This window comes from Homo sapiens, chromosome 5, assembly GCF_000001405.40.
Source record: "Homo sapiens chromosome 5, GRCh38.p14 Primary Assembly".
NCBI classification, from domain to species: Eukaryota; Metazoa; Chordata; class Mammalia; order Primates; family Hominidae; genus Homo; species Homo sapiens.
Genome location: NC_000005.10, coordinates 178,521,656 through 178,547,694, shown reverse-complemented (window position 1 = coordinate 178,547,694; position 26,039 = coordinate 178,521,656). Strand labels below are relative to the sequence as shown.

Here is a 26,039-nt window from a genome sequence, read left to right as displayed (position 1 = left end):
GTGGGTGTGTGGGGGGTGGGTGTGTGGGGGGTGTGTATGGGGGGTGTGTGTGTGTGGGGGGGTGTGGGTGGGTGTGTGTGGGGGGTGTGTGTGTGGGTGGTTGTGGGGGTGTGGGTGTAGGTGTGTGTGGGGGTGTGTATGGGGGTGTGTGGGTGTGTTTGTGGGTGTGAGTGTGTGGGTGTGGGGGTGTGTATGGGGATGTGTGGGTGTGTGTGTGGGTGTGTGGGTGTGTGTGCCCACACGTGCATGCATAAAGAGATTTATTTGAAGGAATTGGCTCACGTGATTATGGGGACTATCAAGTCCAAAATCTGGCCCAGGAGAGCCAATATTCTTACCCATGTTCTTTCCCATGTTCTCGCCACCCGCCTTTTTTCTCACTGCCGGTCATAGAGGTGACTTGGGCCAGGGCTCGGCTCTGCTGAGTTCCGAGTGTGCCCCAGGGGCTGATGATTGAAAGTCATTTGCATTTAGCTCGGTGCTGGCGTGAATCAGATACTGTCGGGGTACTTGCCACTCAGTGTCACGGAAATGTATTCCCTACGGGGAAATAGTTTGGAAATACCTTCCCTGAAAAGCCTTCTCTACCTTTTGCAGCTGACATTTCCTGTTTTACTTCCCAAATTGCCTGAATTGAGCAGAGTTTGGGAGCTCTGTGGACCCAGGCGCTCCCAGAAGGATGCCCCCCAAGCTTGGAAGGCCACTCTGCATGCGAGCGGCTTCCCTCCGGCTTCTCTGCCCTGGAGCCCCTGTGCCTCCTCCGTGTTCCTCCAGGGGCCTCACACAGGCCCCTTGTGCTGCCCCACAGCTCGGGTGCCCCTGGCCTTGCAGAGATGGTGCCCACAATCTCTGCTGTGAGCCTGCCAAGCCCACACCTTTGGCACGGAGTTGCCTCAGGCTGCCTTCTGTCCTTGTGGGGCTGATGGAAGCGGGTGTCACGGACAGAAATAGCTGCCCTTGCTACATGGTACAAATAGGACTGGCTGTGGCAGAAACCTGGACAGTTTTCTGTTTTCCCTTCATCCTTGCATTTGGTTCCCTCATCCCAGTCCCACTCTGCCCTCGTGAACCCTCAGTCCTTTTACCTCATCGTCCAGTAAGTGTTAGTGGCGCGTCACCGCAGCCAGGCCCTGGGACGGCCCCCAGTGTCAGGACGAGGCAGCTCTGGGGGGCAGACGGCCAGCTTTGCAGGGTCTGCACCCTCATCCTGGGAGCAGAGAGGAGGGAGGGGATCCAGGGAGGGTCCTGGGAGAAGAGCTGAGATGGCTGGTGAACAAGTTAGCATCCTGTGGTTGCTGGCAACAGAAACCAGCTCCTCTGCCTATCTAGACAAAAGTGGCGAACAGTGGAAGAAATGCATGAGGATTGAGGCTTGGGAAGGATGGGGTGCAGGGTGGTTCCGGAATTTAGGCAGGAACGGGATCTAGGAATGGAGGGGTGATACCCCCACCTCGGGAACAGGAGGCCTCTTACACATATCTGCCCCCCGCCACCCCATATTTCATGTGTGCATGGCTCTGTTTGAGGTGGAGGGGAGATAGAGTCTTACTGGCCAGGTGGGGACCCTGTGGCCACCCCTCAGCCTGAGGCTTCCAGGGCAGGGCTGAGACATAGGGTGAGCACCTCCCGGGCAGCCTCCCGGCTCCTTGGAATCTAGGGTGCCTCGTGGAGGAGGGGTGTCAGGGTTTGGATGCAGGTGGGCCCAGCTCTGGGAACTTGAGCCAGTTACCTAATTCTTAAAACTCTCCAACTCCTTGTGCATAAAATGGGGTAATACGATGTACCCTATGGGTTTGTTTTGAGGATAAACTGAGGCAAGTTTATGTGGAAATGCTTGGCACACAGTAGGCATCAAATATGTCTGTTCATGTATCCCTGTGGGAATCGACCTGTGGACCTCAGGCAGTGGGATGTGGGGGTGATAGGAGGGAGCTGTGCCTGCAGCTTGTGCCAGGGTGCAAGTTCCTTCTGTGGCTGCCCTGTGGAAAAGCACATCATCCCTGCTTAGACCCTCGGTTCACTTGGGGCCAGAATCCCTCAGCAGACCTTCTGCTCAATCATGGAGAGAAAGCAACTCCTGGCTTTTAGGAGAGCCCTTGAACTCGAGGTTCCTTTTGCTGCCCTGTAGGTTATTGGCAGGCCGAGTGTTAAAGTCCTTTTCTTCCGTGTCCCCTTGCAGTTTCCCAAAGGCTCTTGTTCCTCCCCGCCCCTGGCACCCACTGTTCTTTTCATTCTTTTCAGTTCTGCCTTTAGAAATAGGACTGAATGCTGGGAGAGCTGCCTTCCCTGTGAGGTCATGAGTTTCATGACACTAATGGGCTTGAAGTGGCCTGTTGTCCGGTCATGTCTTTAGAAGTAGCCTCGTGCGGAACCTGAGCCCCCTGTTGGGCCAGCACAGGGAGAGGCTCAAAGTGCCGTAGCCTGAGACTGTGAGGGGCGTGGGGGCTCAAGAGGAGGGCATAGCCCAGGGAACAGAGGATGCCCAGACCACCCATGAGGGGCACCCGCCTCCCCCATCAGGAACTAGAACACCCCCCACCCCCTCTATGGCCCTCATACTGTGGGGAATGTACTACTTTATTTATTTTTATTTATTGTTATTGTTTCCTTAGAGTCAGGATCTCACTCGGTTGCCCAGGCTGGAGTGCAATGATCACGGCTCACTGCAGCCTTGAATTCCCGGGCTCAATGATCCTCTTACCTCAGCCTCCCAAGTAGCTGGGACTACAGGCACGTGCCACCACACCTGGCTAAATTTTGTTAATTTTTCTTTTTTTGTTGTTGTTGTTCTAGAGACGGGGTTTGCTGTGTTGCTCAGCCTGGCCTCCCTGGTCTCAAACTCCTGGGCTCCACCAATCCACCCGCTTTGGCCTCCCAAAGTGCTGGGGTTACAGCTATGAGCCACCACGTCTGGCCCGAACGTACTACCCCAGTGGCACGGGGGCAGCAGGTGACCTGGAGGCTGAGCCCACAGTGCCTCTGAGCTTTGCCACTTACAGGACTGGAAGGTGACCGCCCCTGATCGTCACCTCCCATTTGTGGCACCGCCCGTCTCACAGTGGGGATAGAGGCCGGCTGTGCTGGCCAAAGTGCTTGCTCACATGTCAGCTGTACCCAGGAGGGACATGCTTCCTAGCTGTACCTCTGGGCCTCAGAGTACTCACAGCGGGGGTGGCCACCGGTCTTGCTGTTTTCTGGGGCAGGTGGAGAGAACAGGGGACCCCATCTGAGGGAGACTGCTCCCCACCGCCATGGCAGGTCTTGGGCTTAATTTTCAGGAGGGCAAAGTGGTGCCTCCCAGCTCCCCGGCCCTGCGCCTGCGTCCTCCCTGAAGTGCGCATCCGCCGACTTGCCTTCCCCGCCTTGGGATCCAGGAGCTCCAGCAGGGGCTGGGCTGGGGGCTCTGTAAGCGGCGAGCTCTGTTCCCTGGGCACTAGTCCCTTTACTTCAGTGGGAGGTGGTGGGGTGGGAAGGGGAAGGAAGGGTTGCATGGGAGGGGACTGTGTGGGGTGATAAACTCAGGTGGGAAGAGTGCTTGCAGGAGGAGGGAGAGTGTAAGGAGGGACATGCCCCGGAGATTATGCTGTGGACTGAATCTTGTGTCCCAAAGTCATATGTTGAAATCCTAATCTCCAAGGTAATGGTGTTAGGAGGTGATTAGGGTATGAGAGTGGAGCCCTTGTGATGGGATTAGTGCCCTTAGAAAAGGGACCCCAGGGAGCTTTTTCACCCCTACGACCCTGTGAGGTTATAGGGAGAAGGCATCATCCATGAACCAGGAAACGGCCTCACCAGACGCTGAATCTGCAGGCGCCTTACAGCCTCCAGAACTGTGAGCAATACATTGTCCTTGTTTGTAGGCCACCCAGTCTTTTTTGCAAGCCACTGGTAGGTTTTCTTAGAGCAGCCCCCACAGACTAAATCTGTAAGCCATGCAATTCATAGTATTTTGTTATAGCAGCATGAACAGGCTAAGACAGGCCGTTTTGGTGAAAGAAGGTGGAGGTGATGGAGGAGGAGCTGAGAGATGCAGGCCCAGGTGTACTGGTATCTGCCTCCGCCACCCACAACACCAAAGGTGGAGACTCAGACCCTGCAGCCGCCTGTGGAAGGGTCACAATCCCCCGGGGCTCACTCCAGGCATTGTTTAGGACTATTAGGAGTGGCTTATTTCATAACTGAACACGCCTTTTTCTTCTTCCTGAAGAACCCCTATGGCCCCAGTCTTTTGAGCAGGCTGTCATCCTTTTATTTTTTTAAAAAAGGACTGTTATAAAAACCAACTATAGGTCAGGCGCGGTGGCTCACGCCTGTAATCCCAGCACTTTGGGAGGCCAAGGTGGGAGAATCACCTGAGGTTGGGAGTTGACGACCAGCCTGGCCAACGTGGTGAAACCTTGTCTCTACTAAAAATACAAAATTAGCAAGGTGTGGTGGTGCATGCCTGTAGTTCCAGCTACCCGGGAGGCTGAGGCAGGAGAATCGGTTGAACCTGGGAGGCGGAGGTTGCAGTGAGCCGAGATCGCGCCATTGCACTCCAGCCTGGGCGACAAGCGCGAAACTCCGGCTCAAAAAAAAAAAAAACAAGCCAATTATGCTCTCAAAAGGATCTCACTCTCCAACCCTCGAACACACACAGCTCCACAGTTAAAAGAAAGTCTCCCTGTACTCGCATCTCACCACCCCATCTAATCCCATGCCCTAGGATGTCAGTATTGTATGAGTGTAGTCTGTGTTCTGTCAGAGCTTTTGCTGTGCTTTAACATATGATACACATTTTAATTTTTACAGAAATAAAATAATGCATGGTATAAACACACTTTTAAAAATTGTTTTGACTTCGCAGTATAGGAGCACCATTCTCTGGCAGCCCAACCTAAATGAACCCCAGAGGCCCGGCCGTTCTTACTCAGAGACTGTTCAGATTTACACCAAAACGCCATCAAAGGAGTCAGAGAGGGAACTCTCCCCAGAGCTCCCAGCCCTCCCCTCCCCCTTCCTCTCCACCTTCCCATTTTTCTGTCTAGAGCTCTGGTATTTTTTCTTCCCTGCCTTCCTGGACCTCTTCCACATTTCTTTCCACACCAGTAGTTTTCACCCTTTCCGATGTAAGAGCCTTCTGGTTTGTTTCCAGCACTCTCTCACTCTGGTCTTTCTGTTCTTTCCCCCGGTCAGCCAGAGGGATGGCTGCAGTGACCAGCGCAGGCCCTTCCTTCAGGGGCAGAAAGGCAGAGGGTCCTCACACACTTAATATTCTGTGACTCTGCCACCCATTATAGCTTTTGTCACTTTAATAAACTTATCAGTACCTCTGATGTCTGCCGAATTTTTACAAACTTTTTATTAAAATGTAACCAGCTACAGGGCCGGGCACGGTGGCTCACTTTTGTAATCCCAGCACTTTGGGAGGCTGAGGCGGGCGAGACCAGCCTGGCCAACGTGGCAAAACCCCGTCTCTAATAAAAATACAAAAATTAGCTGGTTGTGGTGGCGCGTGCCTGTAATTAGTTGGTTGTGGTGGCAGGTGCCTGTAGTCCCAGCTACTCGGGAGACTGAGGCTCGAGAACTGCTTGAACCCGGGAGGCGGAGGTTGCAGTGAGCCAAGATTGTGCCACTGCACTCCAGCCTGGGCGACAAGAGTGAAACTCCATCTCAAAACAACAATAAAAAGATGTAACCTGCTACAAGCAAGAGCACATATCGTAAGTTTGCAGCTCACACCTGTGTCCAGGCCAAGAAACAGCACCTGGCCAGACCCCCACAGACTCCCCTAGTGTCCCCAGGGCACATAATCCCGATTTCTCACCTAAGAGACTGGTTCTGCCTGCATTTGAACTTCATATAGAAGCACGTGGTATGGATTCTTGTGTCTGCAATTCAGCATTGTTTGTGAGATTCATCTATGTTGCTGCATGCAGTTGAGGGTTATTCATTTGTGCATTGTTGTTGGGCATTTGGGTAGTAACCAGTTTTTGTCGTGAAGAGAGCTGCTGCGAACAATGTAGTATATGTCTTTCAGTGAACATACGTATGCATTTCTGTTGTGTACAAACCTTACAGCAGAATTGCTGGGCGTAAGGTATACATATGTTATGTTTAGTAAATAGTTCCAAATCTTCTGAGACAGAGTCTCACTCTGTCACCCAGGCTGGAGTGCAGTGGCAAGGTCTCAGATCACTGCAACCTCCACCTCCTGGGTTCCAGCGATTCTCCTGCCTCAGCCTCCCAAGCAGCGAGGACCACCACACCCGGCTAATTTTTGTATTTCTGGTAGAGACGGGGTTTCACCATGTCGCCCAGGCTGGTCTTGAACTCCTGGCCTCAAGTGATCCACCCGCCTTGGCCTCCCAAAGTGCTGGGATTACAGGCATGAGCCACTGTGCCCGGCCCCAAATCATTTTTGAAAGAGGGTGATAGTCCCACCCAGTGTGTTTGACAATTCCAGTTGCTCTGCATCCTCCCCAACACTTGGATTTTCTGTCTCTTTTCTTTTAGTTATTCTGGTGGCTTTGTAGGTCTGTTTTTGGATCTTTTTGCTGTTCTGTTCTATTTGTCTATCCATGTGTCGATACTGTTATTTTAATTCCCAAAACTTGATAGTTAGTATTGATAATAGAATAGAGGTTAGATTTTCAGGATTGCCTTGACTGTTCTCAGTCATTTGCACTTCCATAGAAAGTTTAAAATGTTTGACAATTCCCTTAAAAATAAAAAAGATAAACAGCCCTGCTGAGATTTTTAAAAATTATTTCTTTGTTTCATTTTTTGAGACAGGGTCTTGTTCTGTCCACCTAGGCTGGAGTTCAGAGACGTGAACATGGCCCGCTGGAGCCTGGACCTCCCAAGCTCAGGCGATCCTCCCACCTCAGCCCCCTGAGTAGCTGGGACCACAGGCACTCACCAACACACCTGGCTTCCTTTTGCAGAGATTTTTTTGTAGAGATGGAGTCTCACTGTGTTGCCCAGGCTGGTCTTAAACTCCTAGGCTCAAGCCATCCTCCCACGTCAGCCTCCCAAAGTGCTGGGACTGCAGGCATGAGCCACCACGCCCAGCCACCCTGCTGAGATTTTGAATGAGATTCATTGAATATGTATTAATTTAGACAGAGTGACATCTTTACACTCTTCAGGCCTCCGATTCATGAACATGGTATCTCTCTCCATGTATTTGAGTCTTCTTTAATTTTGTTTGATAATGTTTTATAGTTTTGAGAGTAGAGGTCTTACACATCTTTTATTAGATTTATTCTTAGAATTTAATTTTTTGTGTGTGAACTTGTGTAGATAGGTAAGAATTTAAATGTTGTGTGAATATTAAATAATAATATTTTTAAAATTTGCTTTCTGTTGGTGATGACTTTTCATGTTGGTCTTGTATCTAGTTACCTTGCCACATGTACTTGTTAATTCTAATATTTTTAGATTTTCCATGTATCTTCTACCATACCATCTATAAATAATTAGAGTTGTGTTTGTTCCTTTCCAATTCTTATGCCTTTTGTTTCTTTCACTTGATTAATTGATTGTCTAAGACCTTCAGTAGTGCTGAATAGAATTGGAAATAGCAGGCATCCTGGTTTCATAACTGAACTCAGAGGAAATATTAAAGGGCTTTTGTAAAAAGTGATGATTAGGTGTTACAGTTTGTCAAATAGTGTTTCTAAATTTATGAGATGATCATATGACTTTTCCCCCTTTTTTCTGTCAAAACAGTGCATTATATTAATTGATTTTTAGGATGGTAACCACGCTTGCATTCCTGGAATAAACGCCAGTTGGATGGGATATATTATTTTAATATGTTGCTGGATTCAATTTGCTAATCTTTTGTTTAGGATTTGCATCGGTCTTTATAGAAAGATGGTCTAATATGTGTTCTTCTGTGGTCCAGTTTTGGTATAAGGTTATGCTGGTCTCAGAACAAGTTGGGAAATGTTACCCCATTTCTATTCTCTGGAAAAAAATGTGTAAGGTTTAGTGTTGCTTTTTTTCTGAAGTGTTTGGAAGAATTCACTGGTGAAAATATCCAGGCCTAGAATTTTCTTTAGATTTTAAGTAATTAAGTCACATGTTTTAATAGAGAACTCTGCTTCATTATTTCTTTTTTTTCCCTTTCTTTCTTTTTCTTTTTTTTTTTTTTTTTTTTTTTGAGACAGAGTCTTGCTCTGTCACCCAGGCCGGAGTGCAATGGCGCAATCTCAGCTCACTGCAACCTCCGCCTCCCGGGTTCAAGTGATTCTCCTGCTTCAGCCTCTCAAGTAGCTGGGATTACAGGCACTGTCACCATGCCCAGCTAATTTTTGTGTTTTTAGTAGAGACAGGATTTCACCAGGTTGGCCAGGCTGGTCTCGAACTCCTGACCTCAGGTGATCCATCCACCTCGGCTTCCCAAATTGCTGGGATTACAGGCGTGAGCCACCGTGCTCGGCCTCATTATTTCTCATAACAGCTTTATTAAGATTGAAGTCAGACACCGTACGGTTCATCTGTTTAAAGTATGCAATTCAGTGGTTCTTAGAGTATACACAGAGTTGTGCAACCACTTCCACAGTTATTTTCAGAACATTTTCATTGCCCCACACAGAAACCCTGTCCCCTTAGCCGTTAACCCCTAAGCCCCTTCCTACAGGCCCTGCCAACCACGAATCTATTTAATTTCTCTAAAGCCTTGCCTTTTCCGGACATCTCATGGAAATGGAATCACACAACATGTGGCCTTTTTCATCCGGCTTCTTTTACTTAGTGTAATATTGTCAAGGTTCATTCGTGCTCTACTATGTATCCATACTTGATTCTTTTTTTATGGCTGAGTAATGTTCTGTTGTATGGCTACTCCACAGTGTGTTTATCCTTTCATCAGTTGATGGACATGTGGGTTTCCACTGTTTGCTTATTAGGCATAGTGCTGCCATGAACATTCTTGTACAAGTGTGTGTGGGAACATATGTTTTCATTTCTCTTGGGTAGATAGCTAGGACTGGAATTGCTAACTCACGTGCTTCATTATTTTTTATTGCTAAATAATAATAGGGATATACCAAAGCATATTTAACAGCTACCTTATTGATGGGCATTTAGTTGTTTAAGTTTGCTGTGAAACAGTGCTCCAGGCTGTGCTACTCAAAATGTGGTTTGCAAATGGATGCCAGCCCTTGAACTGTTTGTTATGGTTCTCTAACAAGATTAGAATAGAAATGGAGAATGTGTGGAAACTTTTATGAAAGCAATTTAAACAGTAATTTTATGTCTACTGAATCTAATTTTTTAATAAAATGGGCAAGTACTTTTATGTTTTTGGTTATTTAAATTTCATTTTTCTACCCCATCATTTTAGTGTATTTTATAAAAGCGTGGGTCCCTGACAAACTGGAAGTTAGAAAGATAAAAAAACAAGCAGCTTTTCACTCCAGTTAGGTAGAGAGGCGTTAAGTTTCTTCCAGTGTGAGCTTCTGCGGGAATCTGCCTAGAGGTGGAATGCCCAGCCCTGAGCGGTAAACGAGCCCTCTGGGGCTCTTGTGTGAGGAGGAGGGAGGAACATCTCCCCTTCAGCTCCTCTGTGCTCAGGATGATGATGAGCTGTAGCACAGATGAATAGACAAACAGAATGCAGCATATCCATACAATAGCATACGATTCAGCCTCAGAAAGGAAGGAAATTGTGGCACAGGCTGCAAACGTGGATGAATTCGACTAAGCCAGTCACAACAGGACGGATACTGTGTGATTCCACTCATAGGAGGTACCTGGGGTGAGTGCCAGGGGCTAGCCAGGGAGAACGGGGACAGCTTCTGTTTGGGAAGTTGAAGAGCTCTGGAGGCGGACGTGGTGATGGTGGCACGACAGTGTGAATGTACTTACCGCCACTGAGCCGTGCACTTGTGGCTGCCATGGGAAACGTCATGCCACGTATTTTACCACTTAAACGTCGTGCCGCGCACGTTTCACCACGTAAACGTCATGCCGTGTATATTTTACCACTTGCACACACAGTTTCAGTAAAGAAGGCGCCTGTCATGGCCTTGCCCTGTGGCTGGATGCTGCCCCACAGCCGCCTTCGGCAGACCGTGGTGTCCATTTTACAGAATTGTCACCCAGACAAGAGAGGGACAGGTCCGGCCCTCATGTCTGCTGAGTGGGGAGCCCATGCCAGCACCCCCTGCCACAGACTCCCTCTGAGGACACCCCTTGTCCTCCGTCAGTCCCAGGCATCTGTGGACACTGTTCTCCTCTCCTCGGTACTAGTTCTATGACCCAGGAAATATCGCTTGCCCTTCACCCAGCCCCACCCGGCCTCGGTTTCCCCATCTGTGAGCTGCTGAGGCCAGTGGTTTCTGACTCTGAGTGCTGGAGCTCTTTCTTCTGGCAGAATCTGAATACGACCCCGGGCCTCAGGCCCACACTGGCAGACCCTGAGGGTGCGGCAGGGAGGGGGCCTCGCAGGAACCTGATGGCACGTCTACAAGCCCCAGACCCCCCTAAGAGAAGTCTAGAGATGGGGACACGGGTGGTCAGGGGTGCTCCTCTCCCTGTCACCCCCGGCCTGTATGTGGGACCCCCTCCCTCTACGCCTTCCATGGAAATCATGTCACCCGCTGTGTTCCACAGCTCAGAGGTGTGAGGAGTCTGGCCCAGGCCAGTGCCGTATGTGTCTCTGGAAGGTAAGCAGGAGTGGACCGGAAGAGCAGAGGAGCAGCCGTCGGCGGTGAGGATGGGCCTGTGTGGCTCTGCAGGGTCAGATCCTAATGGCTGCTCCCAGTGCAGGCCCCGTGGTAGAACCATAAATCAGCCCAGGTGTCACCAGGGCCTGGGGCGGAGGGCTCAGTAGAGCTGTGGCTGCCAAAAGCTCACATCTGGCTCTCCAGCTCTGACCCAAATGTGCATCCTCCACCCCCTCAGCACATGCCCCACCTCCCCGGGAAACCTCTGGGCTGTCCCAGCCCCTCCCAGAGCCTCTGTAGGGTCATCATCGCTTTCAAGAATGGGACCGAGCCGCATAGGGATGCCCTCATCGCACCCTGAATGGGCCTGTGCAGCAGGTACCGGAGCTCAGGGCCTGGGACTCAGTGCTGTGGGCCTAGAAGTGTGAGGCCATCAGGCTTGGGAGGCTCCCAGCAGGCCTCAGACCTTGCAGGGGACTGAGGGTGACTGACTGCACCTGTCCATGGTCTGGATGATGCATCCGGTGATTGGTCCTTATTGTACAACCTGTAGACAGTGTGGACACTGAAGCAGAGGAAGCAGCCACACCTGGGACCCTGACATCAGATTCGGGCCCTGTGGGTTTTGTGAGCATAGCGAGGAACTGTGCTAGAGTTTCCCGGTGATGTGGTCGGGATGTGAGAGGCTCTCTAAGCCCCACTGGGGCTTTCCACGCCGGTCCATCCCCTGGTCTGTCAGGGTGCTGTTGTCTCCATCTCTTCGTGGTTCTCCCGTGAGGAGGCAGGCAGACCGGGGAAGCCACACTCCCCGAGCACCCCTGCGGCATGAGCCGCGTCCCCAGCCGAGGGTGACGACAACCTTGTGGGAATGGCAGTGAATTGTTCCTCAAAGGAGATTTCTGTATTGAAGGCCCATCCTCCGTAGTGGCTGCCTTGCTGGTGGCCTCAGAGCCAGGGACAGCCTCTGGCAGACCAGATCCCTGGGGACAGTTTCCACCTCAGAGGGTTGTCAGCATTTTACCTGGAGGAAGGCCCGGGGCCTGGCCCTTGCCCTGATGGGTCATGACCCTCTCGGGTCCTGGGAATCCAGGGGTCAGAACAGACAATGGCAAAAGGTGGCCGGAATCCCCTGACCAGGACCCTCACACTGGGCCAGGCACCTCCCTTGCCCCGCAGATAGGGCCTGACCTCAGGGCCACATGGCGGGATGCCCACCCTCTCACAGCCCTCTCCACGATGGGGCTGGGGACTCTGGCTCAGGTGAGCACTTGGGACCTCCTCTCTTGGCTCTGTGCACTTCGTGCTGGGCACACGGCGCCCTTCAGACAGGATGCAGGGTGATGGGTCTGCCTCCAGCTCCTGGAGTCACGTCCCACCCCTGGTTCTTTCCCAGTGTTTGCATGTTCCTGTGACCACGCCTTGTGTTTCTGTAGCCCAGGCTTCTGACCCTGGCCTGGAGGGGCTGAGGCACCAGGGTTCCCTGTGAGCCGCCAGCTGGGCCTCTGGGCTGCGCACTGCTGTTCTGTGCGTGGGAGAGTGATGCCTGGCATGCGGTATACAGAGCGCCTTCAGAGTCCTTGTCTTGTTTGGTGCTCACAGGAGCATGCTCAGCTTGTGGCCTTGCCCACACCCACGGAGTGCTGGAGCCAGAAGGGAGCTGTGTGTAACCGAGGCTTGGCAGCCTGTTGGAGTAGATAAGGAAGCCAGGGCTCTGAGAGCGTCAGGGCCTTCAGCATGAGTTCTGGAGTCAGAAGGAAGCTGTGGGCTGGGCACGGTGGCTCACGCCTGTAATCCCAGCACTTTGGGAGGCTGAGGCGGGCAGATCACTTGAGGTCCGGAGTTTGAGACCAACGTGGTCAACATGGTGAAACCCTGTCTCTGCTAAAAATACAAAAAATTAGCCGGGTGTGGTAGCAGGCGCCTGTAATCCCAGCTACTGGGGGGAGGCTGAGGCAGGAGAATCGCTTGAACACTGGAGGCAGAGGTTGCAGTGAGCCGAAATCACGCCACCGCACTCCAGCCTGGGCGACAAAAGTGAAACTCTGCTCAAAAAAAAAAAAAAAAGAAAAAGGAAAAAGAAGGAATCTGTGGATTTTAAGCAAAATTATGTGTAATAACCTCTTTTAGTCAACAGGAAAAGTGCTAGCTACCTGGTAGAGTTTTTATGGGGATTTAATGAGAGTGTGGGGCAGGGCCTGTACTGTAATCTGGTCGTGCACATGTGCTCTGTGCACTGTTTCTTTTCTGTTCTTTTTTGTTTTTTGGAGTCTTGCTCTGTCGCCCAGGCTGGAGTGCAGTGGCACGATCTTGGCTCACTGCAACCTCCGCCTCCCGGGTTCAAGCGATTCTCCTGCTTCAACCTACCGAGTAGCTGGGATTACAGGCATGAGCCACTATGCCCAGCTAATTTTTAGATTTTTAGTAGAGATGGAATTTCACCATGTTGGTCAAGCTGGTCTCAAACTCCTGACCTCGTGATCTGCCCGCCTTGGCCTCCCAAATTGCTGGGATTAACAGGTGTGAGCCACCGCCCTGGCCTCTGTGCGCTATTTCTGACTTGGCCAGTGAGCGATGGGGCTGAGCCCAGTGCCCCCTCCCTTACAACATGTGATGGACAGAGTTTTATGTCCCTGCGAATTCGTACAGCAAAATCCTCACCGTGAAGGCGGGGGTGTTGGGAGGCGGGGCCTTTGGAAGGTGGTTAAGTCATGACGGTGGAGCTCTCATGAGTGGCATTATTGCCCTTAGGAAATGAACCCCAGAAAGGCCTGTTTTTCCTTCCACCGTGTGAAGGTACAATAAGATGGTTGTCTATGAGGACTCAGACCCTCACTGGCCTCTGAGCCTGTGGCACCTTGATCTTGGACTTCCCAGCCTCCAGAACTGCAAGAAATAAACATTTATAAGCCACCCAGTCTATGGTATTTTGTTACCGCAGCCCCAGTGGCCTAAGGCATGCAGAATTTGGCCATCCAATATTAATGGAGAGACTGTCAGGTTATTTGTAGCCTGTGGGAGGCAGGACCTGAGAGTGATTTGAAGGAAGGAGAGAGAGAGTTTGCTGATACTGGACCAAACTCCAGTGTGGGAGGAAGTCTGTGTGTGGGGTTCACACTGGGTGTCCACTGAAGCCTCCCTAAGGAATGAGCTTCCTTTTCAATAGACGAATGATACAAAATATTTTTATATATTATATATTCCTTCAGTGGAACATTATTCAGCCTTAAAAAGGAAGGAAACGGCTGGGTGTGGTGGCTCATGCCTGTAATCCCAGCACTTTGGGAGGCTGAGGCAGGCGGATCACGAGGTCAGGAGTTCAAGACCAGCTTGTCCAATATGGTGAAACCCCATCTCTACTAAAAAATACAAAAATTAGCCGGGCGTGGTGGTGCACACCTGTAGTCCCAGCTACTCGGGAGGTTGAGGCAGGAGAATCACTTGAACCTGGGAGGTGAAGGTTGCAGTGAGCCGAGATCACGCCACTGCACTCCAGCCTGGATGACAGAGCGAGACCGTGTCTCAAAAAAAAGAAACTCCGACACATGCTACAACATGGATGAAGCTTGAGGATGTCATGCTGAGTGAAATAAGCCAGTCGCAAAGACACACACTGTAGCATTCCACTTCATGAAGCAGTTAGAGTAGTCCTGGAGAAGGAGTGGAGTCACGGTTGCCACGGGCTGAGGGAGTTATTCCATGGGCACAAAGTTTCCGTGTGGATGATGAAAACGTTCTAGCAACGGATGGTGGTGATGGTTGCACAACATTGTGAATGTACTTAATGCCAGTGAATTGTGCACTTAAGAATAGCTAAAATGGTAAATTTTATGCTGCATACACTTTACCGCAATAAAAAAAATAGTTTCATCTGTACAGCCTCAGAGCTTCCTAGTTCTCAGATCTCCAAGGTAGTCACAATCTCATTTTTCCTTAGAATCCCCTGTAGGGCAGGCATTTCCCCATCTTACAGACAGGGAAAGTGACTCTCAGAGGGGCTAAGTGATGCTCCAGCAAGGCAGGGGTTAAGGGAGAGAGCAGAGGAGCTTCCAGCCAGGGACCCCACAGCTCAGGGCTTAACCAACAGCTGTTGATTCCACACAGTTCTGAAGGCTGGGGGTCTGTGATCAGGGCCAGCGTGGTCGGGTTCTGGCGAGGCCTCTCTTCCTGGCTTGTAGGCAGCTGCCTTCTTGCCACATCCTCACGTGTCAGAAAGAGAAGCTGCTCTTGTCTTTCCTACCTCTTCTTGTAATGACCCAAATCCCATCACCGGGGCCCTATCCTCATCATTGCATGTATGCCTAATTACCTCCCAAAGCCCCGCCTCCAAATGCCATCATCACAGTTGGGATTAGGGGTTCAACACGTGCATTTTTCTGGGGAACACAACACCCAGTCACGGTGCCCATTCACTTGCATGTGTCCTTGGAAAAGTCTCTTAAATGCCTCAAGACTCAGTTTCCCCTTCTGTAAAATGGGAACAGTAATAGCCCCTCGCCTGTATGGGGTTTCTGTTTGACTCGAGTGAAGTGCCAGGTGCAGATGGCTCTGTAAGCTGCATCTTCTCGGGGCTCGGCTGAGTCTGTGTCTCTGGACTGTTGTTTCTTGGGGCACCTTGGGGGCCCTTGTAGCTGCATATGGGCAGCATTTGGTCCGAGGACAGTTCTGCTGCTCCCTTTCTTAAGGCTGCTCCTAAAAAGGCCACTTCCATCCCCAGGTTTTCAGCCACAAAATGAGCCTCTCCCAGGGGCCTTGCCCAAGACATGGTTACTAAAGTTTCCTCTTAATGACCTGATTGTTTCTAAGGAATAACCTGATTAAGTCAACAGGCTGGCAAACAATGTGCCTGGAGCACATCCCTCAGTTGGAGGCTCAGCTTTTCGATTCTGGATGGAGGTCACTCAGATCTTGGCTGGAACAGGACCAAAAAGGGGAGTCTCCGAGTGAGCTCTGCCCACGTCGGCAGATGGCACACCCCAGCCAGCCTGCACTCATGGGATGTGGCTGGTTGCATCTTTCCACTGGGGGCCACCCTGCATCTGGTTGTCAGCTGGGGGCTGTGTCACCTGTCATGTCTCACCCTTCTGAGGACTCAGGCAGCCCACCTTGAGTTTGGTGTTGTGGTTCGGTGACTCCAGGACTGAGAGGAGAACCAGGCTCCTCTCATGCTGCACTGGCCAGAGGGAGCGTGCAGGATGCCGGGGCAGGGATCGCTTAGAAGGCCGAGGATGGGCAAGGATGCACTCGCTCGCAGCAAGGGCAGCCTAGCAGGGCAGTGGGAAGCTCTCTCAGCTTGGCCCCTGGTAGTTACATCTCAGTTACATGGTTTTTGGCAACAATAACAAAATAAGTTGGAAAGACCACAGTAGGAACTTTGAATCCAGTGCAGTCTGAAAGCCATCCTATCCGTTGGGCTTGCATTTGGCTGCCGAGAACAGAATCCCTAACTTAAACACGGGGGGATTATCTTCTTGCAGGATGATAATTCCAGAGGCGGAAAGTCCGGGGCTGGTGTATCTGCTCAGGGGTGTTTCAGGATCCCAGGCTCTTTTTATCTTTCCATCTCTCCATCCTTAACAGGCAGACCTTCATCTTGACAGAGCTAGGTCAGGCCACAGGGGGTTTGGAATGAGAGTTGTGTCAGCCCCAGGCAGGTCATGCGGAGAGCACTAGATTTGCCATCAAGAGACCTGGGTTCCCACCCCACACTGGGTCATGTTAGGGCAAGTCGCTGCCATCTTCTGGACCTTTTCCCATCCCTCAAATGGGAGAGTTGAACTGTATTATCTCTACAGTCCCTTCCATCTTGTTCCCGTTACCTACTGCTGTGGTACAAATGATCCCAAAAGTTCATAGCTTAAAATGCTTATTTCAGCCAGGCACGGTGGCTCACACCTGTAATCCCACCACTTCGAGAGGCCGAGGCAAGTGGATTACCTGAGGTTGGGAATTTGAGACCAGCCTGACCCCATGGAAAAACCCCGTGTCTACTAAAAAATACAAAATTAGCCAGGCGTGGTGGCGCGTGCCTGTAATCCCAGCTACTTGGGAGGCTGAGGCAGGAGAATCTCATGAACCCAGGAGATGGAGGTTGCAATGAGCTGAGATCGCACCACTGTACTCCAGCCTGGGCGACAAGAGCAAAACTCTACCTCAAAAAAATTAATGCTTATTTCATTCATGAATCTTCTATTTCATTAGGGCTCAGCAAAGATAGCTGGTATCTGCTGACTCAGTGTCAGCTGGGAGGGAGGCTAGAACGAGGTTGGGGCTGGGATCCTCTGAAGGCTCGCTCACTCACCTGTCTGGCAGGTTACGCTGGATGGTGGCAGGGACCTCAGCCGGAGGGAGCTGTGGCTGCAACATCTACACCTGGTCTTTGGTCTGGCTGCTTGGCCTCCTCACAAATTAGCCACTGGGTTCTAAGTGTGAAGGAGCTGGGAGGAGGCTGCATCGCCTTTCCTAAGTGGCCCGGGAAGCCATGCAGTATCACTGTGTCACTTTCTCTTCATTAGAAGCAAGTGATTCTGTCTGGCTCATATTCAAAGGGGACAGAAGTTAGACTCTGCCTTTTTTTTTGAAACAGGTCTTTCTCTGTCACCCAGACTTGAGTGCAGTGGCATCAACTTGGATCACTGCAGTCTCCACTTTCCAGGGTCAAGTGATCCTCCCACCTCAGCCTCCTGGGTAGCTGGGACTACAGGCACGCACCACTGCACCCGGCTAATCTTTTTTATTTTTAGCAGAGACGGAGTCTTGCCATATTGCTCAGGCTGGCCTTGAACTCCTGAGCTCAAATGATCCTTCCACCTCAGCTTCCCAAAGTGCTGGGATTATAGGTTGAGCCACCACACCTGGCCCACACTCTGCCTTTTGATGGGAAGAATCTCAAAAGATGTGTGGACCTGCTTAAAACCGCTGTGCATCTGTAGGTTTCAAATTCAGTGTTCCTATTCCTTCACGCTGATTTTCACTATTCCAGAATTCAACAGAGGCTAGACTTCTCAGGGCAAGACCGTAGAAAAACTGTTATGGAACAGGCTTTATCAGATAGGCCTGACTGCTAGAGCGGGATCTTCCTTCGTCTTAAAAGTAAACAATACCTGGTTGATTTTGAGAGATGCTACCTTACAAAACAAGACTTTGAGAGTCATTATACAGCAGTGTTTGAAAGGTACACTATGATCACAGTTCATCCACACGCTTCTACTGGCCCTTTCTTGTGTGCCTGGCACCATGCTGGACACGAGGAGTTTAAATCAGGCCTGAGGTCTGGCCCCACTCACGGGAGATGTGTAGTTTCGCTGGGGAGACAGAGGCCTGGGAGCGCTTCTGCCTGTGAAGTCAGCGGTGCCTGCTTTCAGTCTATGCCCCTCGTGTCCACTCTGGGCTTGGCACAGAGGGACCGTCTGTCCCTCTATTGGTCAGTGACAGAAACTTAACTCTGAGTGGCATGACAAAATAAAGCAAAAAAATGAATTTTGTTTGTTTGATTTTGGTTTATGTAACTAGAAAGGCCACGGGTAGATTTCTCACTTCAGGCATCACTGGGTGCCAGGACTGAAGGGAGATTCCTCCCTGCACCTCAGTGTTACACAGTTGCACTTGGGGCCCCAAGAAACCAGGCGTCTGATGGTCACGCCACGTGCAGTTCCCTCCCACACTGACTCTGGGCTTCACGCCACGTGCAGTTCCCTCCCACACTGACTCTGGGCTTCACTGTGATTTGTCTGGGCCAACTGGACACTAGCAAGTGTGATACAAGTAGAGGCTGGAGGAGCCGCTTGCTCATTATGGTTGTCCTCTTGCAACACATCCTCACGGAATCCAGCCACCCAGACGTAAAGAAGCCCAGGGCTAGACTGTCGGCTGAAGAGACGCCACATGGAGAGAGTCCTTGGACGACAAGGCCATATCAGACATTCCAGACATCTTAGATAACTCCCTAAGGAGAACAGCCGCGAGGGACCTCAGCCGTAGCTCTGCGGAGCAGAACCGCCCAGCCCTGCGAGGCCATAGAATCCTGAGAAACAATACATTGATGCTTTAGGCCACTGAATTTTGGGTCATGTTGTTTTGAGGTGATAGGTAACTGATACACCGTCTCTAAGCAGTGGCAAGACAGCTGCCAAGAACTCTGGGATCAGAAATCCCAGTGGACACAAAACACCTCTTCCCTTCATTTCGGGAGAAGTGCAAGCATTGAGGGATGGACTCACTTGTTTTATTGAGATGGAGTTTCACTCTTGTTGCCCAGGCTGGAGTGCAATGGCGCGATCTCAGCGCGTCGGAACCTCCGCCTCCTGGGTTCAGGCAATTCTCCTGCCTCAACCTCCCGAGTATCTGGGATTACAGGCACGTGCCACTATGCCCTGCTAATTTTGTATTTTTAGTAGAGATGGGGTTTCTCCATGTTGGTCAGGCTGGTCTCAAACTCTGACCTTGTGACCCACCCGCCTCGGCCTCCCAAAGTGCTGGGATTACAGGCGTGAGCCACTGCGCCCGGCCTTGACTCACATTTAATGAGTGCAAGTCACTTGCTCATCTTGGAACTCATCACTGTGGCCAGGGAGTGAAGACCAGCCCAGAGATGTGTGCCCATCCCTGAAGCGAGTGGGGAGTGGGGTCAGTCCCACTGAAACCTGTGACCTGGGATGAGGGAAGGCAGGGAGAAAAATGAGGCTGTCATTAGCAGAAAAGGGGGCAGCGGAGACAGCAGAAACCACCACAGGTCTCCCCTGTAGGGAGTGTGTGAGATGGTGAAAGGGTGAATGAGTGATCGTGAGTGGGCTTAGGTGAGGAAGAGCTTTAATGAGGGCTAATATTTAAGCCAGGACTTGTCACAGGTGAGGGGCAAGGGTTTCCAGGAGGTGAGCAAGCTGAGGGGTAGAACAGGTGGCAGGAGGCCAGAGGCGGGGACTGGGGCAGTCCCAGTGCCCAGGGAGCAGGAACCGCATCTGAGGTGCACAGATGTCACAGCCAAAAGCCCCGGTATTTGCCAAAATGCCAAATGTGTTCTAGGCCTTCCCCTTGAATGTGAAATTCGGTTTTATTTTAAGAAAAGTGTCCAGGTGTTTCTGATTCATGTACACTTAAGTCATCCTTTTGTGTGTGTGAATGTGGGGAGCTATTTCATGCCAAGAAATCCTGGAAAGGTTTTATCTTGGCATTTTCCATTTCGGGCTGTATCTGAGGAACAAGACGCTGCATTTGCCTGGGGCCAAGCCCATCAGGCTTCCGCCAGGTTTCCAGTATCCAGGCTGCAGGGAGCCTGGCAGGGGCGTGGGCAGGGGCGTCTGAGTGGCAGCTTGTAGTGGAAGGCAGTGGGGTCCCCGGGAGCACACACAGCATGCACTCAGGGCTGACTGAGGTTGTGCCCCACTGGGGATGTGCAGTTGTCTCCAGGTCTTGGCAGAGGCCACCCCTCCCCTGGCCCCTCGTTGGTAACCGAGTCATGAGGACAGTTTGTACGTGGTGCTGTGCCCAGGCAAGCTTGGGACACACCATCCACCCGGGCCAGCCGCTTCCTGGAAATAGAACCTGAGCAGGAGACGTTCTCTTAGAAGGCTGCGGGGTGCCTGGAGGCCCCTTGGAGCTGGCAGAGCCCCAGGGAAGAGAGATGAGGGGGTCAACCGCTGATCTCAGGACAGACAGATGGAAAAGGCCAAGGCTCTTCACATAGAAAGTCAGGAGGCTGCAGGGACGGTGTGGAAACATCTAGACCCCGGCTCCTTCACCCCAGCACAGAAGGGAGAGCTCTCAGGGCGAGGGTGAGTGTCAGTCAGCTCAGACCAGCCCCAGGTCCAGCACTTTTGCTGCCAGCATGCCTGGTGCTGTCCCCCACTCTCCTCACCGAGGGCCCCCCGCCTTGCTGCCTCCCTGAGCCCTGCTTGTCCACACCCATCTGGGCTCCACTTCTGGGGTCCAACTTCCCCCTTTTTTGACTTGGATTTGACCCCCTTCAACACCAAGTGCCCTGCAAGATGTGGCTTGGCTTCCGGACTCAGCTTCCCCCTCCCCGTCCTGGCTGTAATTGGCCTGGGCCCTCTCCTGCCTACCACGGCACCCTGGGGTGCTAGGACAAAGGAGGCCGTCTTTTTGGAAGGCAGCGGTTTGAATGAGTAAGGATAGGAACAGTTTCATACGGCAGTTAATGGAATAAACAGGAGTGCAGGAGCGTGCGATGGACTCATTCTTTCACCCTTACAGCTGCCATTTATGGAGCCCCATGTCTGGATAGCAGAGGAGTGAGGCTGAGGGAACACTGGGGGCTGTAGTCTGAGTTTGAATCCACATTCGGGGCTCAGGTCCTTTGTGGCTTGCCTGAACCCCCTCTATCCTTGGCCCAGCAGTGGAAACACCCCATTGTAGACTCGCTAGCCCCTCTCTTCCCCCAAGAAGCTCCACGGCAGCATCAGACTCTTTTTATTGCAGATGACAGAAACATGACTCAAACTGGCTTCAGCCAGTTCAAAGAGAATTTACTGGGCTCTGGAGTTTACTGGTTTCAGGAGCCGCAGATGCCCTCCTGGTGGGCTTGCTCGCCTCTGGGTTCTGCAGTCCTGTGTGTTGGCCTCATTCTCAGGCAAACACTTCCCCACCAGGCCCATGTCCTTCTCGCTCAGCATGCCAGCAGAGTCCCATAGAGGACGTTCCCTGGTCCAGCCACAGCTACATGTCCCGTGAGCCTGTCACTGTAACTGAGAGGGTGTGGGGCTTTGCTTGGCCCCCCAGGTCAGGGGATAGAGTCAGCTCCCTGCAAACCCACATGGGCTGATCCAGGCAAAGGGGCAGTTCCCGGGGCAGCCAGAAGGGTACTACTGGAAGTATGGGAAGGATTTTGGAAAGGCAAAACCCACAGGAGTCGACCCCAGGGCCTACTCTCTCCCACATGCCTTTCCTGCTCATTCCCTGGCCCTCTGCCCTCTCTCCTTCAGGAAGCCCTCTTGGGTTACTGCAGCCCTTGTGCTTTCTTCCTTCCCAGCACTCCGAGGACACTCGCCTCCGCTGGGCCTGCCTGTGCAGTGCTGACTACCTCAAGCTGTTACCATCTTCAAGTTTGTATGAGTTTGCTTTCCCTCTAGAGGTATATGGAGGTCTTGAGGTCAGGCCTGTGTTCCTAAGGCAGCTGATGAGGTGTAAAGAGTTTTGGGCTCTTCTCCAGTGCTTCTGGCCTAGGCCGTGCTTTGCCTGTGGATACATTTTACCTGATCTTCATTTTTCATGTTAATGAAGTTTTTCCTATGAGCCTTGGACACATTATCTTTTTCCATTTTGCACTGAGTGTTTTAGATAAAGCCTTCGGGTCCTGGGGTCTGCGCGCTGTGTCGCCATTTCTTACCAGCCATGTGAGCTTAGCCTTCGGGTCCTGGGGTCTGCGCGCTGTGTCGCCATTTCTTACCAGCCATGTGAGCTTAGCCTTCGGGTCCCGGGGTCTGCGCGCTGTGTCGCCATTTCTTACCAGCCATGTGAGCTTAGCCTTCGGGTCCCGGGGTCTGCGCGCTGTGTCGCCATTTCTTACCAGCCATGTGAGCTTAGCCTTCGGGTCCCGGGGTCTGCGCGCTGTGTCGCCATTTCTTACCAGCCATGTGAGCTTAGCCTTCGGGTCCTGGGGTCTGCGCGCTGTGTCGCCATTTCTTACCAGCCATGTGAGCTTAGCCTTCGGGTCCCGGGGTCTGCGCGCTGTGTCGCCATTTCTTACCAGCCATGTGAGCTTAGCCTTCGGGTCCTGGGGTCTGCGCGCTGTGTCGCCATTTCTTACCAGCCATGTGAGCTTAGCCTTCGGGTCCTGGGGTCTGCGCGCTGTGTCGCCATTTCTTACCAGCCATGTGAGCTTAGCCTTCGGGTCCCGGGGTCTGCGCGCTGTGTCGCCATTTCTTACCAGCCATGTGAGCTTAGCCTTCGGGTCCTGGGGTCTGCGCGCTGTGTCGCCATTTCTTACCAGCCATGTGAGCTTAGCCTTCGGGTCCTGGGGTCTGCGCGCTGTGTCGCCATTTCTTACCAGCCATGTGAGCTTAGCCGAGTTATTTAACCTCTTGTTGCCCTAGTTTCTTTCTTCATCTTAAAATGAAAACACGTAGCATAAAGAGTTACGCAGTTTAGGTGGGTGGTGCGTGTGTAAATGGAGTCCCGCAGAGTGCTGGGCTCCCAGACAGCTGTTGAATGAATGAATGACTGCATTGCTGCGTGAGTGAGTGAGCGAGTGTGTGAGTGAGTGAGTGATCTGTGGGTCTGTTGTGGAGCCACATGGCCTGTTAGGGCTCTAGACAGGGGCCCTTATGAAAAAAGAAGGCCCTGCTTCAGGGGCATAGGAGGCGTCAGGCAGGCAGCAGGGCAAGAGCCAGCCCTGCCTCGGGTCAGCGTGGCCTGGAAGTTGGCCAGGTCTGCAGGAGAATGGGCAGGTGTGGCCAGGTGGTCCATGGGGGAGGAGGCTGGTACAGGCCAGAGCTGGTCAGGTCAATGCCCGACCATTTCCAGGACCTTTGCCTGTGCTGAGCATGGGTTATTTTTTTCTGGATACATCCATCCCCCATCCTTTCTGTGACAGTTCCCTGATTTCCCTTTGGGTAAAGCCCCTACCCCATTCCCAAGCTATGTATCTTGGGATGGGCTGACCCCACCACCAGGCTCTGCTGATACCCATGTGACCCAGTTATTCTCATAAGAGACAGATTCTAGGATTTTCCTGGAACTTCTGAACTAGAGAGGGTCTCTTTCCACTGGGGAGAGCGGGCAGGATGTGGTCTGGAGCTGCGGGGGGCCACAGTGTGAAGAGGGCTCCCCTGGGAATGAAGCCAACATGGAGGAAACAGAGCTGACAGATGGGGAAGGAGAGAGCCCTGGTGATGTTATTGGAGTGCCTGGATCCAGCCAGACCTGAATCTTCCTGGATTTTTCAGTCAAGAGGGGCAGTACGTTCTCTTTGTTATTTAAGCTAGCGTGACCCAGGTTCTGACCCTTGGAGATAAAGGTCCTGGCTGATACACCAGAGACCCTCCCGTATGACACAGAACCAGTGTCCCCGCAGACGCTCATTCCTGTGGAGGTTTGTATTTTTGAAGTCCTTGTCAGAGATCATGAAAAGGAAGGGTCGTAGATAGGAGAGGTCTCAGGAAATAGTGGTTGCAGTGAGTGACAGCCGTGTTCAGAGCCCAGGTAGTGTAACTTGCCTCTCCCCGTGTAACAGCTCAGGTTGTGTTGTGGCTGCGTCCCAGCAGTGATTCTTGGGAGAACAAGGATGTCAGAATCTGGAATGTGCGTTGCCTGCATTGAGCAGAGTCTCCTTCCAATTGTTCATCATTCCGGGTTTCAATGAATTTTTTTCAGAGTGTGCAGGTTTACATATGCTGTTCGGTTGGTGATGGAAACACTTACGGCCACTGATAAAGCAATAAATGAAAGGAAATGACAGGAAAGCACCATCCTCGAGCTTCCATGGACACAGAGATGAAGATTTCCATCTGTGGCTAGACAGGCGCAGAGCTTTGGAGGTGCTCCTGGCCCGTCGGTTCCCAGTGACGTGTCTTCAACTCCAGGCCGTGTAGATTGCTCAGAACTTGTGCACATCATAGAGGTTTCTCTTTCTTTTTCTTTTTTTTTTTTTTTTTTTTTTGAGACAGAGTTTCGTTCTTGTTGCCCAGGCTGGAGTGCAGTGGAGCAGTCTCAGCTCACTGCAACCTCCTCCTCCCAGGTTCAAGCGATTCTCGTGCTTCAGCCTCCCAAATAGCTAGGATTACGGGCGCGCACCACCACACCTAGCGCTCTCTCTCTCTCTCTCTCTCTGTCTCTCTCTCTCTCTCTGTCTCTCCCTCTGTCTCTCTCTCTCTCTCTCTCTCTCTATATATATATATATATATATGTGTATATATATATATATGTATATATATATATATATATTTTTAAATAGAGACAGAGTTTCATCATGTTGGTCAGGCTGGTCTTGAACTCCTGACCTCAGGTGATCTGCCTGCCTCAGCCTCCCAAAGTGCTGGGATTACAGGCATGAGCTACCACGCCTGGCTGGAGTTTTTTTACATTCAGTTCTGGACATAGATGGGAGGCTGGGCCAGAGAAATAGAGTATAGGGCAGGGGATGCCCAACTCATTCCCGAAATGATCTCTGTGTTAAAATTGTACCATAAAGCCACGCTTGGGGTCCATAGCATCAAGGTGGATCTTCTTATCAGAGACTGGGGGGAGACTTGAATGGGAAGGATGCCCTCGGGCAGAGCTCACTGGCAGTCCCCGTAGGCCACGTCTGGTCCTGGGCAGTGCTCTTGTATGGGTGCTTAGCGCTTTCTTGGATCACATCTTTTGGTGTTGGTCCTGTCATCAGACTGTGGGAGGATCACAGACAGCGCGTCTATCGTGCCCTCCACCACTGTCCCCGTTGTCCTCAGATACAAGCGCATTGCCTGCCCTTGGGTACATTCTTTCTCCAGTGACCCCCTTGCTTCATTACATGTGCTGACCACCGGCTCGTCACAATCTCGGGCAGGCACAGTTGTGGGCTGAGGGCAGCTGTGGATGGTTGACTGGGGTTAGCATTTGTGCAGCTTTTGAACAATCTCTTGGCTGAATGGGGAAGCGTGGCGAGTTATTCCCCGGTCCTAGGGTGTGGTAGATGACTTCTCCTGTTGCTGTGATGTCTGTGCGGACTGGGACTCACGTGGGCTAAATATGTATGTCTTCATTTGAGAGGACCAAAACACGATTCTAAGGTTGGTTGTTTTCCAAAGGCAGTAACTCGCCTGGTTAGTTTTTCTCTTTTTCCTCTCTCCTGCCCCCAAATTACATAAAGCAAAACATCCAGGTCGTTTCCAAATTTCATTTCATAAACCGAAAACACGTTTTAGGTCTCAAGGGGCAAAAGACACCTTCATCCAGTTAACTCGGAAAGTTTTTAATGTTTATATGGCACAAAGTTCTTTCTTTTTTTAGACAGACTGGAAGAATCCTTCCTTTGCTAAGACCTTATTCTTTTTCTGGTTTGTTTGAAATTTTTTTGTTGTTGTGGTAAAAAATACATAACATAAAGATTACCATGCTAGCCATTTGAAGGGTACAATTTGGTGGCATGAATTACATCCCCAATATGTTGTGCTACCATCACCACTACGTATTGCCAAAATTTTCCATAACTCCAAACAGAAACTGTGTAACCATTAATAAATAACTCCCTTTATACCCCTGACCCCAGCCACTGGTAACTTCTTAACTGCTTTGTCTCTGTGACTGTGCCTAGACTAGATATTTCATATACATTGAATCATAAAATAAGTAGCCATTTGTTTCTGACTTTCACTTAGCATAAGGACTTCAGGGTTCATCCATGTTGTAGCATCCATCAGTGCTTCATTCCTTTTCATGGCTGAATAATATTCC

The 26,039-nt window shown here is 51.3% G+C and overlaps 1 protein-coding gene across 11 annotated transcripts in view, besides 3 other annotated features; it reads left to right on the top strand.

The window, feature by feature from the left end:
- The window catches only part of COL23A1 (collagen type XXIII alpha 1 chain), a 352,776-nt gene that overhangs the window by 42,699 nt on the left and 284,038 nt on the right, over nucleotides 1-26,039 (top strand). The gene's annotated exons all lie outside the window — the stretch shown is intronic.
- Nucleotides 3,333-3,627: a silencer, noted in NCBI's record as "tiled region #11707; HepG2 Repressive DNase matched - State 22:ReprW, and K562 Repressive non-DNase unmatched - State 21:Repr". NCBI's record gives its function as "represses a minimal TATA promoter and a strong SV40 promoter by Sharpr-MPRA in HepG2 and K562 cells {active_cell/tissue: HepG2 | K562}" and the evidence as "EXISTENCE:reporter gene assay evidence [ECO:0000049][PMID:27701403]".
- Nucleotides 20,568-21,316: an enhancer, noted in NCBI's record as "H3K4me1 hESC enhancer chr5:177953380-177954128 (GRCh37/hg19 assembly coordinates)". NCBI's record gives its function as "activates a minimal SCP1, AML or CMV promoter by ChIP-STARR-seq in naive H9 embryonic stem cells {active_cell/tissue: H9 hESC(naive)}" and the evidence as "EXISTENCE:reporter gene assay evidence [ECO:0000049][PMID:30033119]".
- Nucleotides 21,693-22,892: an enhancer, noted in NCBI's record as "BRD4-independent group 4 enhancer chr5:177951804-177953003 (GRCh37/hg19 assembly coordinates)". NCBI's record gives its function as "activates an origin of replication core promoter dependent on BRD2, P300/CBP, MED14 and CDK7 cofactors, and independent of BRD4, by STARR-seq in HCT116 cells {active_cell/tissue: HCT116}" and the evidence as "EXISTENCE:reporter gene assay evidence [ECO:0000049][PMID:35650434]".